Below are 12,182 nucleotides of genomic sequence, written 5' to 3' on the forward strand. Positions count from 1 at the left end.
TTTAATTTGTAAAATTTGCTTAACTTGGTGAGTCAATTAAATGGATATAAACAATTCAGTTTATTCGGAAACTGAATTCCGAATAAACAGAACAAAATGATCTCTTGGTGAACTTTCCTCAGAAGCACACACATACACAAACGGCACATGCAAACAGTGCCTATTAATTGCCACACAGTCAACTCTTACGCAGGCAACGACGAAAAGAATTGCTCAAATTCTCCTATGCCCAGCCTATGCTATCAAGTCATGCTCTGAAAAACTAAAGTCTGGTACAAGCAAACTGGGCAGCTTCTGAAGTCAATGAACAACTTAACCTGTAGCATTCTCTTGGGAGCTAGCAAACGAGTATCCTCTTTGCAGTCCTGTTACTGGGATGTTATAGTACCTATTACCCACCTTTTCTAAATATCAGTATTTCCAGCTGTGAAAAGAAAGAAATCCTGACACTACCTCAAAAAGATGGTACAGAAGATAGTGTCCATTTTCCTAATTATATATATTACATTCAAGAATAAAAGAGTGGGCTGCGGGCGCGGTGGCTCACGACTGTAATCCCAGTACTTTGGGAGGCTAAGGCGGGCGGATCATGAAGTCAGGAGATCGAGACCATCCTGGCTAACACAGTGAAACCCCGTCTCCACTAAATATACAAAAAAATAGCTGGGCGTGGTGGCAGGCGCCTGTAGTCCCAGCTACTCGGGAGGCTGAGGCAGGAGAATGGCATGAACCTGAGAGGCAGAGCTTGCAGTGAGCCGAGATCACGCCACTGCACTCCAGCCTGGGCGACAGAATGAGACTCCGTCTCAAAAAAAAAAGTGGGCTGCGCGGTGGCTCACACCTGTAATCCCAGCACTTTGGGAGGCCAAGGTGGGCGGATCATGAGGTCAAGAGATTGAGACCATCCTGGCCAACATGATGAAACCCTGTCTCTACTAAAAATACAAAAAAGTTAGTCAGGTGTGGTGGCGGGCGCCTGTAATCCCAGCTACTCGGGAGGCTGACGCAGGAGAATCGTTTGAACCCAGGAGGCAGAGGTTGCCACGAGCTGAGTTCGCACCACTGCACTCCAGCCTGGTTGATGGAGCAAGACTGTCTCAAAATAAATAAACAAATAAATAAAAAGAATAAAAGAGTTGACACAAACCTTTCCAGCCATATCAATGATCATTTATAGACAAAGTTAGCCAAATAGTAAATACCTAATATACAGAAATACCTAACTTTGCTATATAAATATTTTGCATGGTGGCACATACCTGTAGTCCCAGCTAGTCAGGAGTCTGAGGCAGGAGAATCGCTTGAACCCAGGAGGTAGAGGTTGCAGTCAGCCGAGATCGTGCCATTGCACTGCAGCCTGGGTGATAAGAGCGAAACGCCGTCTCAAAAAAAAAGAAGAAATTTCTGGTATTATTATTATTATTATGTATTAGTTACTTAGTAGGTATTTCCTCAATCAGAATTTTAAAAAGTAGCAAAAACTTAGAGGAGTTGTTCATTGTGCCTCCTCGCTTCAGGTTCTGGGAGTGTCTGATAGAGTTACAATATACAGGCATCCTCTGGTATGTATCGGAGATTGATCCCAGGACCCCCACATACACCAAAATCCGAACATGCTTGTGTCCCAGAGAGCCTTGCAGAACCAGCAGCTAGGAAGCCAGCTCTCCACATATGCAGGTATATTCTCATCCCTCAAATACTGTATTTTCATTCTCTGCGTTTGGTTGCAGATGTGGAACCTGCAGATATGGAGGGCCAACTGCATTTATTTTTTAAAATCTGCGTATAAGGAGATCCATGAAGTTCAAGCTCGTGTTGTTCAAGGGTCAACTGTATCTGCAACTCAAGGTTCTGCTAAAGATCCTAAGGAGCAGACTTCCAAAGGTCACGCCTCCTGTTGAAGACCAGGTGAGGACCAGAAGTTAGGCTTCCAGACCTTTCCACTCCAGGGCCCTTCCACTCCCAAATCACATGTCTATCTCAGGAAACCTCATTTTCCCATGAATTACTGGCTGCAAAATTCTTGATTGGTTACAGGAAGTCACTGACTACTTGGCAGAAGTGGACAGGCTGTTACAAGAACAAAAACCCCTTGATTCAAACCATTTCACTTAGGAAAATCAGAAAATATACACGCCTAGCAACTAGGATGCTAGCTAATGAATTTATACAGTCGGCTCTCCTTAGCCTCAGGTTCCACATCCTTAGATTCAACCAACCTGGAATGAAAAACATGCAAAAAAAATGTTTAAGAAAATGCTACATTGTTGCTGACATGTACTATGTAGTTAGGCCTAGGATGGCTGCCTCTACACTGAACATGGATAGACTGCTTTTTGTCATTATTCCCTAAACAACACAGTACAACAACTATTTACACAGCCTTTACATTGCATCATGTATTATAAGTTGGTTGAGAATCAAACTGGTTTTCCTCTGCTCTCACCTGACAACAATCAACACAGAAGACTTCTGTGACCAGATGCGTGGGGATTTTTCTCTATCAATAAGTAAGCCATCAATTCTGCAGCCAGCACTAGCTGGGTACCTTCCAATCCAATTCAATTCGGACACTAACTATCTGAAAACAGTGTCAGATTCCACAGGCTGAGGGCTCAGTCCCAGAAGACTGCTCCTACTTCAGACACCAGTCACACAGGTCAGGGCCTCCAGAACTTCTCAATGGCGGGCTTCAAGCTGCAGTTCCCAGGACCTCCTCTTTAGGCTTCATTAATTTGAACACTTACTTAGGTTTACTGATTTATTATAAAGGGTATTACCAAGGATACAGATTAAGTGGTGCACAGGATGAGGGATGGAGAGGGGGCACAGAGCTCTCTGCCCTCCCCAGGCATACCACCATCCAGAAACTTCCACCTGTTAGGCTATCCAGAAGTTCTCTTGGGCATTTTGTAGAGATTTCACTAGAGAGAGATTATTGAAGCATGACCAACCTCACAGTAACTGATTGGATAAAGAGTGTCATCTAACTGAGTGCAGAAACCCAGCAAGGCCCATCCAGATTCTCCTTGGCCTCTCTCTATTTCTTCCTCCTGGGTAAGGGGCACGACCCCCTCTGAAACGGGGGTCTTGTAACCTAAAATCAGACAAGATACTTCAGAGATTTCTTTACGGCCAGCTCTAAGACAGAAAGGCAGGGGATGATTAGAGGGCAAGAGACAGATCTTCTGTTTTCTGAGGCCTGCTTCTGAGGCTTAGAGTGCCCCAACATTCTAACAAAAGACTGTCCTTCACCTTTACTGCTCTGAAGCTGTTCCAAGGCCACTTCAGGAACCATGGACAAAGGACAAATACTTTAACAAAAGTTATGCTTACTGTTTTAGTCATTTAGAAAGTAACAAGGACTATGGCAGTTATGAGCCAGGAACCATGGACAAAAACTGGTATTACATGTCATGGTATCATAATAAGGCATCTAGAGATGATTTAAAGTATATGGGAGAATATGCATAGATCATATGCAAATACTACACCGTTTTATATCAGGGACTTGAGCATCTGTGAATTTTGGTATACGCAGGGGGTCCCGGAACCAATCCCCCAAAGATGCTGAGAGATGACTATATTTATGAAGCTAATAAAGTATTGTTATATTACTTTATTGAACAAGTATTTGCTGAATGCCTACTGTGTGCCAGATGCAATGCTAAGCACTAGGTGAACAGACACTGGTCCCCACCCTCCAAACAAGTAAGCATACATTTATCACTGCAACTTGTAATTATTTGAGGGAAAGTAAATCAAGGTGCTATGAGAGACAAAAAGAGCTTATGTTAGTTAGACTTACTGAAGAGGAAAGGCAACTTTGAAAAGGGACACAACCCAAGTAGAGAACAGGTGGCCAGGTGTGGTGGCTCATGCCTGTAATCCCAGCACTTTGGGAGGCTGAGGCAGGCAGATCACCTGAGGTCAGGAACTCAAGACCAGTCTGGCCAACATGGAAACCCTGTTTCTCCTAAAAATACATAAATTAGCTGGGCATGGTGGCACACACCTGTAATCCCAGCTACTTGGTAGGGTGAAGCAGGAGAATCCCTTGAACCCAGGAGGCCAGGAAGCAGAGGTTGCAGTGAGCTGAGACTGCACCACTGGACTCCAGCCTGGGTGACAGAGGAAGATTCCATTAAAAAAATTAAAAATAAATAAATAAGAAGATGAGAACAGGGCGAGGGCGAGGGCGAGGAGGAAAGTATACCAGACAGAGGGTACCGCAACGCAATGGTACTCAGGAAGTGCTTAGAAGGTTAGAGGAGAAGGAAATACCTGTCAGTGGAAAGTGTGTGTCTAGGAGGTTGGGAGAGTGGCAAGTGGTAAGGCTGGGGAGTAGGTGAGGTTTTACAGGGTCTTGCAGGTCCTGGTAATAGATGGAGATTTCCTCTAAGTGCAATGGAAAGTCAATGAAGGGTTTTATCCAGGGGTGACATGTTCCAATCATTACTTAAGATCACTCCAGTTGCCATGTGGAGAACAGAATGGAGGCTGGGGAAGAGTGAACACTCAAAGGCTATTGCTTAATCCAGCCCAGAGGTGATGGACTATAAAGCTAACAGTGGAGATGCTGAAAAGTAACTGCATTCAAAATACATTCTAGGGTGGAGACAACAGGACCACTGATGGACTGGATTTAGGAAGTGAGGAGAGAGGGCTAGATTTTTGGTCTATGCAATTGGATAGATGATGAGAAGAAGGTTAGAAACATATCTTTGGGAACTATCAGCACATAGATGGGTTAAATGACAGAGTGTGGAGAGAAAGGGTCCCAGGACTGAGCCCTAAGATACTTCAACACTTAGACATCAAGCAAGGGAGGAACGAGACCCAGGGAAGGACACTGTGAAGTAGTCCTTGATGTAGGAGGAAATATCAAAAGGGAGCATATATCACAAAGAAAAGAAAGTTTCTAGAGTTTCTGTATTAACCACTGCTGAGAGATCAAGAAAGTTGAGGCCAGAAAATCAACATCTGCATTTGACAAGATGGAGGGATCAGGTTTTTGTTTTTGTTTTTTTTTTGAAACAGTCTTGCTTTGTCACCCAGGCTGCAGTGCAGTGGCACAATCTGGTTCACTGCAACCTCTGCCTCCCGAGTTCAAGTGATTCTCCTGCCTCAGCCTCCTGAGTAGCTGAGATTACAGGTGCCCACCATCACACCCGGCTAATTTTTGTATCTTTAGTAGAGACGGGGTTTCGCCATGTTGACCAGGCTGGTCTCAAACTCTTGACCTCAGACAATTGGCCCATCTTGGCCTCCTGAAATGCTGGGATTATAGGCGTAAGCCACTGCGCCCCACTGGATCAGGTAATGTTAACAGTCATTTCTGTAGACCAGTGAGGATGAAAGCCCAACAGAATGGTTGAGAGAATGAGGGTCTAATCAGCACTTTCAAGAAGTTTTGTTGGGATGGGAAGCAGAAATGGAGTAAGAGGTGGACATGTGGCCAGGTGTGGTGGCTCACACCTGTAATCCTAGCACTTTGGGAAGCCGAGCTGGGCTGATTGCCTGAGCTCAAGAGTTTGAGACCAGCCTGGGCAACATGGTAAAACCCCATCTCTACTAAAATTCCAAAAAGAAAAAATAAGCTGGGCATGGCGGCATGCACCTGTAGTCCCAGCTACTCGGCAGGCTGAGGCAGGAAAATTGCTTGAACCCAAGAGGCTGAGGTTGCAGTGACACAAGATGGTGCCACTGCACTCCAGCCTGGCAACAGAGCAAGACTCCGTCTCAAAAAAAAAAAAAAAAAAAAAAAGAGGCTGACATGTATGTGAGGACAGGATTTTCTTAAGATGAATACACTAAAGCAGGATTGTATGCTCACAGGAAATGCTCTAGTAAGTAGGGAAAAATTAGTAATGATGGCTTATACAAGAGTAAAATATATTAATAGTTTTTCAGGTTGCAGATGAAATCCCATCAGTAGGTTGCAAAATTAATTCAGTAGGTCAACTTATTTTTATTTTTATTTTTTTTTTAGACAGAGGCTTGCTCTGCCACTCTGGCAGGAATGTAGTGGCTGGATCTCAGCTCATTGCAGCCTCCTGGGATCAAGCGGTCCTCCCATCTCAGCCTCGTAAGTAGCTGAGACTACAGGCATGAACCACCACACTCAGCTAACTTTTTTATTTTTTGCAGACACAGGGTCTCCCTATGTTGCCCAGGCTGGTCTCTACCACCCAGGCTCAAGTGATCCTCCTGCCTACGCTTCCCAAAGTGCTGGCATTACTGGTATGAGCCACACGCTTGGCCCCATTCATTTTAACAAAAAAATAAACAATATGAGAGTGTACGCCATACATTATTGTTTCATGAGCCTTTCATTTCAGTTACACAGACATATTATGTTACGTCAATAAAAAAAAAAAACTCAAAAGGAGCCAGGTGAGGTGGCTCACACCTGCAATCCCAGCACTTTGGGAGTACAAGGCAGGAGGATCACTTGAGCTCAGTATCACCTTGAGACCAGCCTAGGCTGTAGTGAGACCCTCTGTCTACAAAAACTTAAAAAAAAAAAAATGAACAGTGAGTGATGGTGTGGGCCTGCAGTCCCAGCTACCGGAGAGGCTGAAGCAGGATTGCTTGAGTCCAGAAGGTCGAGGCTGCAGTGAACCATGATTACACCACCACACTCCCACTGGTGGACACAGCAAGACTCTGTTTCTTAAGAAAAAACAAAATTAATTAATTAAAAATATAAACATCTGAAATGCCATAGTACATATAACCATTAAACATGAGGCAAGAGAACGTGAAGGAAACTGTATCAGTCAGTTCACAGAGAACACAAGTTAGGTAATACCTACAAGTTAATATCAATCATATAAAACCCACATTCGGAGTAGATGCAAAAACTTCCATTTGCACTAGGCGCAACGAACAAGCACGGAAAAGACCACGTGGAGTTAAACTGTCAGAAAACCTTTTACCCTCGCCTGTACACACCCACACACCCCGTGCTGTTTCTCCGGTCCCAGTCCTGGCTCACATCCTTCCCTTCTCCACCCAAAAACTCGCCCCTTCCCTCACAGTGTTGACTGTTCCCATCAAACTCTGAGGGCAGCTCTTCGGAGTGAGGGCTCCCCAGGGCCCGGTGGGGCAAGCAGAGCTCTACCTGGACCTGATTCGTCTCTCCTCCACCTACTTTCAGGGCGGACAGACTCAGGCCTTTACAGCCTGCTAAGTCCCGGGTCGGATACCAGGCTGGGCTCCACCCCCGCACTGTGACCCAGAAACGCTGGTAAATGAATGAGAGAAGGAGGGGGCACATTGAAAGGCAGCCGGACACGGAGGTGCTCGGCCCCGCACCCCAGACACAGGTTGTGGAGGTTCGGAGGGGCTTGAGTCCCGTTCGTCCCTGTCCCTATCCCGGGGCCCTCCCGGACAGGGCCAGCCAGCCCCCTGCCCTCACTTCCGTACGAGGGTCGCCCAGTCCCCACGGCTCTCGGCTCTCAGAGGTCCAACTGTTAGGCTCCTCGCGTACCAAAAGGGACGCGTCCAGACTAGAGTCTGGACTTCCATGAGGTCCAGACTCGTCGCCTCTGGCTGCCAGCAGACAAGGAACTTCACACTCTACAGCTCTCCCCACCGTCGCCAACAGCGCCAAAGTGCCAGCTCCGCACGCCAAGGTGCAAGCCAGGAGCGCCGCGCTTCATGCCGGGAGCTTGGCGGACTCGGAACCTCGCGCCGCAGGTTCTCCTTTCTCGGGGGTGGGGGTGTTGGGGGGGGTGGGGGCGTGTTCCTGTATCCTTCGCCCAGGCCGACTTCAGACTGCTGAGCGTTTGCGGACAGGATTATCTCGTGTTTTCTATTGTTTGTTTGTTTGTTTTGAGACGGAGTCTTGCTCTGTCGCCCAGGCTGTAGTGCAGTGGCGCGATCTCGGTTCGCTGCAGCCTCTGCCTCCCGGGTTCAAGCAATTCCCTGCCTCAGCCTCCCAAGTAGCTGGGATTACAGGCACCCGCCACCATGCCCGGCTGATTTTTGTATTTTTTATTAGAGACAGGGTTTCACCATCTTGGCCAGGCTGGTCTTGACCTCCTGACCTCGTGATCCACCTGCCTCAGCCTCCCAAAGTGATGGGATTACAGGCATGAGCCACCGTGCCCGGCCACCTGGCTAATTTTCTTTTTTTCTTTTTTCTTTTTTTGAGACGGAGTCTGGCTCTGTCACCCAGGCTGGAGTGCAGTGGCGCAATCTCGGCTCACTGCAAGCTCTGCCTCCCAGGTTCACGCCATTCTCCTGCCTCAGCCTCCCGAGTAGCTGGGACTACAGGCGCCGGCCACCCTGCCCGGCTATTTTTTTTTTTTTTTTTAGTAGAGACGGGGTTTCACCGTGTTAGCCAGGATGGTCTCGATCTCATGACCTCGTGATCCGCCCACCTCGGCCTCTCAAAGTGCTGGGATTACAGACGTGAGCCACCGCTTCTGGCCCCCTCTGGCTAATTTTCTAAAAAAAAATTATTTGCTGTCCAAAGGGTCAGCTAGAATTTTTCTTTTATTTTTTTGTAGAGATGGGAGAGTCTCTATGTTGCCCAGGCTGGTCTTGAACTCCTGGCCTCAAGTGATCCTCCCACCTCCACCTCCCAAAGTGCTGGGATTACAGGTGTGAGCCACCGCAATGGCCTTTGTTCCCTCCTTTGTAAATAATAAATGTGTTAGATAATCCTCATAAAGTGCCTGGCACTTTATTAATTACTGTGGCAGTACAACCATGACTCTCTGTGAAGTAGATTCCTTTATTATTGACATTTTATAATTGAAGAAACTGAGGCAGTCTTGGAGAGATTATGATTTACCAAAAGTCACTCATCTAGGAACTTGTCCGGTGGGTATTGAACCCCAGTCAATCTGAACAAACACAACAGATGCATTAACTAGAGACTGGTGAGTGGATGAATAAAATGTACTACATTTGTACAATGGAAAACTATTTAAAAATAAAAAGGAGGCCAGGCTTGGTCCCAATACTTTGGGAGGCGGGGGCAGGATTTCTTGAGACCAGGAGTTCCAGACCAGCCTGGGCAACATAGCCAGACCCCCTATCTACAAAAAGTTAGCCAGGTGTGTGGTGGTGAGCACTTGTAGTCTCAGGTACTGGGGAGGCTGAGGTGGAAGAATCACTTCAGTCGGGAGGTCGAGGCTGCAGGGAGCTATGATCATATCACTGCATTCCAGCCTACAGAGTGAGAGACCTTGTTGCAAAAAATACATATAGATAGATGGATAGATACATGCTACAACATGGATAACCTCCCAAAACATGACGCTATTAATAAGTGAAAGACGCCACACACAAAATAATACATATCACCTGGCCACGTGGCTCATGCCTATAATCCTAGCACTTCAGGAAGCCAAGGCGGGTGGTTCATCTGAGATCAGGAGTTCAAGACCAGCCTGGCCAACATGGTGAAACTCCATCTCTACTGAAAATACAAAAATTGCCAGGCACAGTGGCTCACGCCTGTAATCCCAGCACTTTGGGAGGCCGAGACAGGCAGATCATGAGGTCAGGAGTTCGAGACCAGCCTGGCCGACATAGTGAAACCCCGTCTCTGCTAAAAAAACAAAAATTAGCCGGGCATGGTGGCAGGCGCCTGTAATCCTAGCTACTTAGGAGGCTGAGGCAGGAAAATTGCTTGAACCCGGGAGGCAGAGGTTGTGGTGAGCCAAGATTATGCCACGGCACTCCAGCCTGGGCGACAGAGCAAGACTCCTTCTAAAAATATATATACATACCGTATGATTCACTTTATATAGAATGTCCAAGAAGAGGCCAATCTATGGATACAGAAAGAAGGCTAGGAGAGGGGTTGGGTGCAGGGATGGGCAGTGACTGCTAATAGATATGGAGCTTCTCTTTGGGAAACGAAAATGTCCTAAAAGTATTATGGATGGCGGTGGTGGTTGCACAACCCTGTGAATATACTGAAAACATTGAGTTGTACACTTTAAATGGCAAATTGTACAGCATATGAATCCTATATTAATAAAGCTGTTAAACATTTTTTACTCGGCTGAGCATGGCGGCCCACACCTGTAATCCCAGCACTCTGGAAGATGAAGGCAGGTGGATCGCTTGAGCCCAGTTTGAGACCAGCCTGAGCAACGTGGCAAAACCTCATCTTTACGAAAAAAAAGAAATTAACCAGCGCAGTGGCTCGCACCTGTAACCCCAGCTACTCAGGAGGCTGAGGCAGGAGAATCGCCTGAACCCAGGAGGCAGAGGTTGCAGATCGCGCCACTGCACTCCAGCCTGGGTGACAGAGCAAGACTCCATCGCAAAACAATAACAACGGCCAGGCGCGGTGGCTCACACCTGTAATCCCAGCACTTTGGGAGGCCGAGGAGGGCAGACCACAAGGTCAAGAGATCGAGACCATCCTGGCCAACATGGTGAAACCCTGTCTCTATTAAAAGTATAAAAATTAGCTGGGCGTGGTGGCGGTCGCCTGTAGTCTCAGCTACTTGGGAGGCTGAGGCAGGAGAATCGCTTGAACCCAGGAGGCAGAGGTTGCAGTGAGCCGAGATCACGCCATTGCACTCCAGCCTGGGCGACAGAGCGAGATGCCGTCTCAAAAAAAATAAAAATAAAAAATTAAAAAACAACAACAACAACAACAAAGTGCATAAAATGCCACCCAGATCTAGCTGGCCTGGTTAGTGTGGAGAATTCCCTGTACCTTCGTTGAGAAAATGGGGCCCCACAAAGAAATGCTAAAGCTCCTCCTTGTGTTATTCATTCAACAAGTATGTAGCCATGGCCCATCGGGGGCTGATGATACAAATGTGACTAACACACACCCTCTGCACTGGCTAGCTGACAGCGTAGTTGGGGAGCCAGCTCTGGACATAAATAACCACAATGCATTGTGTTTTGACGCGATGGGGCAGGGGAGGGAATGACTAATGAGGCGGAGAGGCGTCCCAAAACCATGGGCCTTTGAAGTGGGTGAGGGGAAAAGCACATGAGGCCGAGGGATTAGGTATGGGCTTCAGTGGAAAAGAGCAGTGCCTCTGACAGCCCCCATGATAAAATGGCTCAGGTGTGACTTAGAGTAGGGAGTTAGCTGGGTGTTCAAATGGTACCCAGGAGGCCGGGCGCAGTGGCTCACACCTGTCATCCCATCATTTCAGGAGGCCAAGGTGGGTGGATCACTTGAGTCCAGGAGTTCAAGACCAGCCTGGCCAACATGGTGAAACCCCATCTCTACTAAAAATACAAAAATTAGCCGGGCATGGTGGCTGGCACCCGTAATCCCAGCTACTCAGGAGGCTGAAGTAGGAGAACCGCTTGAGCCTGGGAAGCAAAGGCTGCAGTGAGCCAAGTAAAAGTTCTTTTTACTGTCTGCACCTCTGGCCCTGAATAGTCGCTGATCACCATGACAATTAAGGGTATGGGCCTTGAGATGCAAAGAAAAGATTATCCTGGATTTTCTACATGGTATCAACCTAATCACAGGGGTCATTAAAAGCATAGAATCATTCTCAGCTAATGTCAGAACCCAAGGGAGGTGTGGCTAGGGAAGAATGGTCTGAGAGATGCAATGTTCCTGCCTTTGATGGTAGAGGAAGAGACCATGAGCCAAGAAGTGTAGGTAACCTCTAGAAGCTGAAAAAGGCAAGAAAACAGATTCTCCTCTGAAGCTTCCAGAAAGGACTGCAGCCCTACCAACACCTTGATTTTAGCCCAGTGAGACTCATGTAGGACTTCTGTATTAGTCCGTTCTCACACTTCAATAAAGAAATACCTGAAGGCCAGGCACAGTGGCTCACATCTGTAATCCCAGCATGTTGGGAGGCCACGGCGGGCAGATCACGAGGTCAAGAGTTTAAGACCAGCCTGGCCAACATGATGAAACCCCATCTCTACTAAAAAAAAAAAAAAAAATCCAAAAAAATTAGCTGGGCATGGTGGCGCACACCTGAAATTCCAGCTACTGGGGAGGCTGAGGCAGGAGAATTGCCTGAACCCAGGAGGTGGAGTTTGCAGTGACCTGAGATTGCGCCACTGCACTCCAGCCTAGGCGACACACACACACACACAAAAGTAAAGAGAAAAAGAGAAATACCTGAGACTAGGTAATTTATAAAGAAAGATTGTTTAATTAGCCTACAGTTCCAACGGCTCTAGAGGAAGCATGGCAGCATCTGCTTCTGGGGAGGCCTCAG

At 47.1% G+C, this 12,182-nt stretch overlaps 1 long non-coding RNA gene across 5 annotated transcripts in view, besides 4 other annotated features; it reads right to left on the bottom strand.

The window, feature by feature from the left end:
• Positions 1-7,620, bottom strand: part of LOC105375336 (uncharacterized) — a 52,145-nt gene extending 44,525 nt beyond the window's left edge. For all 5 annotated transcript variants that reach the window (XR_002956511.2, XR_007060359.1, XR_927617.3 and 2 more), the window contains exons 1-2: positions 7,496-7,620; positions 1,260-1,382 (exon numbers count right to left, since the gene is read on the bottom strand). This is a non-coding gene — a long non-coding RNA (uncharacterized LOC105375336). The remainder of the gene's footprint in view (positions 1-1,259; positions 1,383-7,495) is intronic.
• Positions 7,288-7,788: an enhancer, noted in NCBI's record as "H3K4me1 hESC enhancer chr7:65509069-65509569 (GRCh37/hg19 assembly coordinates)". NCBI's record gives its function as "activates a minimal SCP1, AML or CMV promoter by ChIP-STARR-seq in naive H9 embryonic stem cells {active_cell/tissue: H9 hESC(naive)}" and the evidence as "EXISTENCE:reporter gene assay evidence [ECO:0000049][PMID:30033119]".
• Positions 7,288-7,838: a biological region, named in NCBI's record as "H3K4me1 hESC enhancer GRCh37_chr7:65509069-65509569".
• Positions 7,359-7,448: an enhancer, noted in NCBI's record as "active region_26077". NCBI's record gives its function as "activates an Ori minimal core promoter by ATAC-STARR-seq in GM12878 lymphoblastoid cells {active_cell/tissue: GM12878}" and the evidence as "EXISTENCE:reporter gene assay evidence [ECO:0000049][PMID:35858748]".
• Positions 7,769-7,838: an enhancer, noted in NCBI's record as "active region_26078". NCBI's record gives its function as "activates an Ori minimal core promoter by ATAC-STARR-seq in GM12878 lymphoblastoid cells {active_cell/tissue: GM12878}" and the evidence as "EXISTENCE:reporter gene assay evidence [ECO:0000049][PMID:35858748]".

Source organism: Homo sapiens, chromosome 7 (genome assembly GCF_000001405.40).
Source record: "Homo sapiens chromosome 7, GRCh38.p14 Primary Assembly".
NCBI classification, from domain to species: Eukaryota; Metazoa; Chordata; class Mammalia; order Primates; family Hominidae; genus Homo; species Homo sapiens.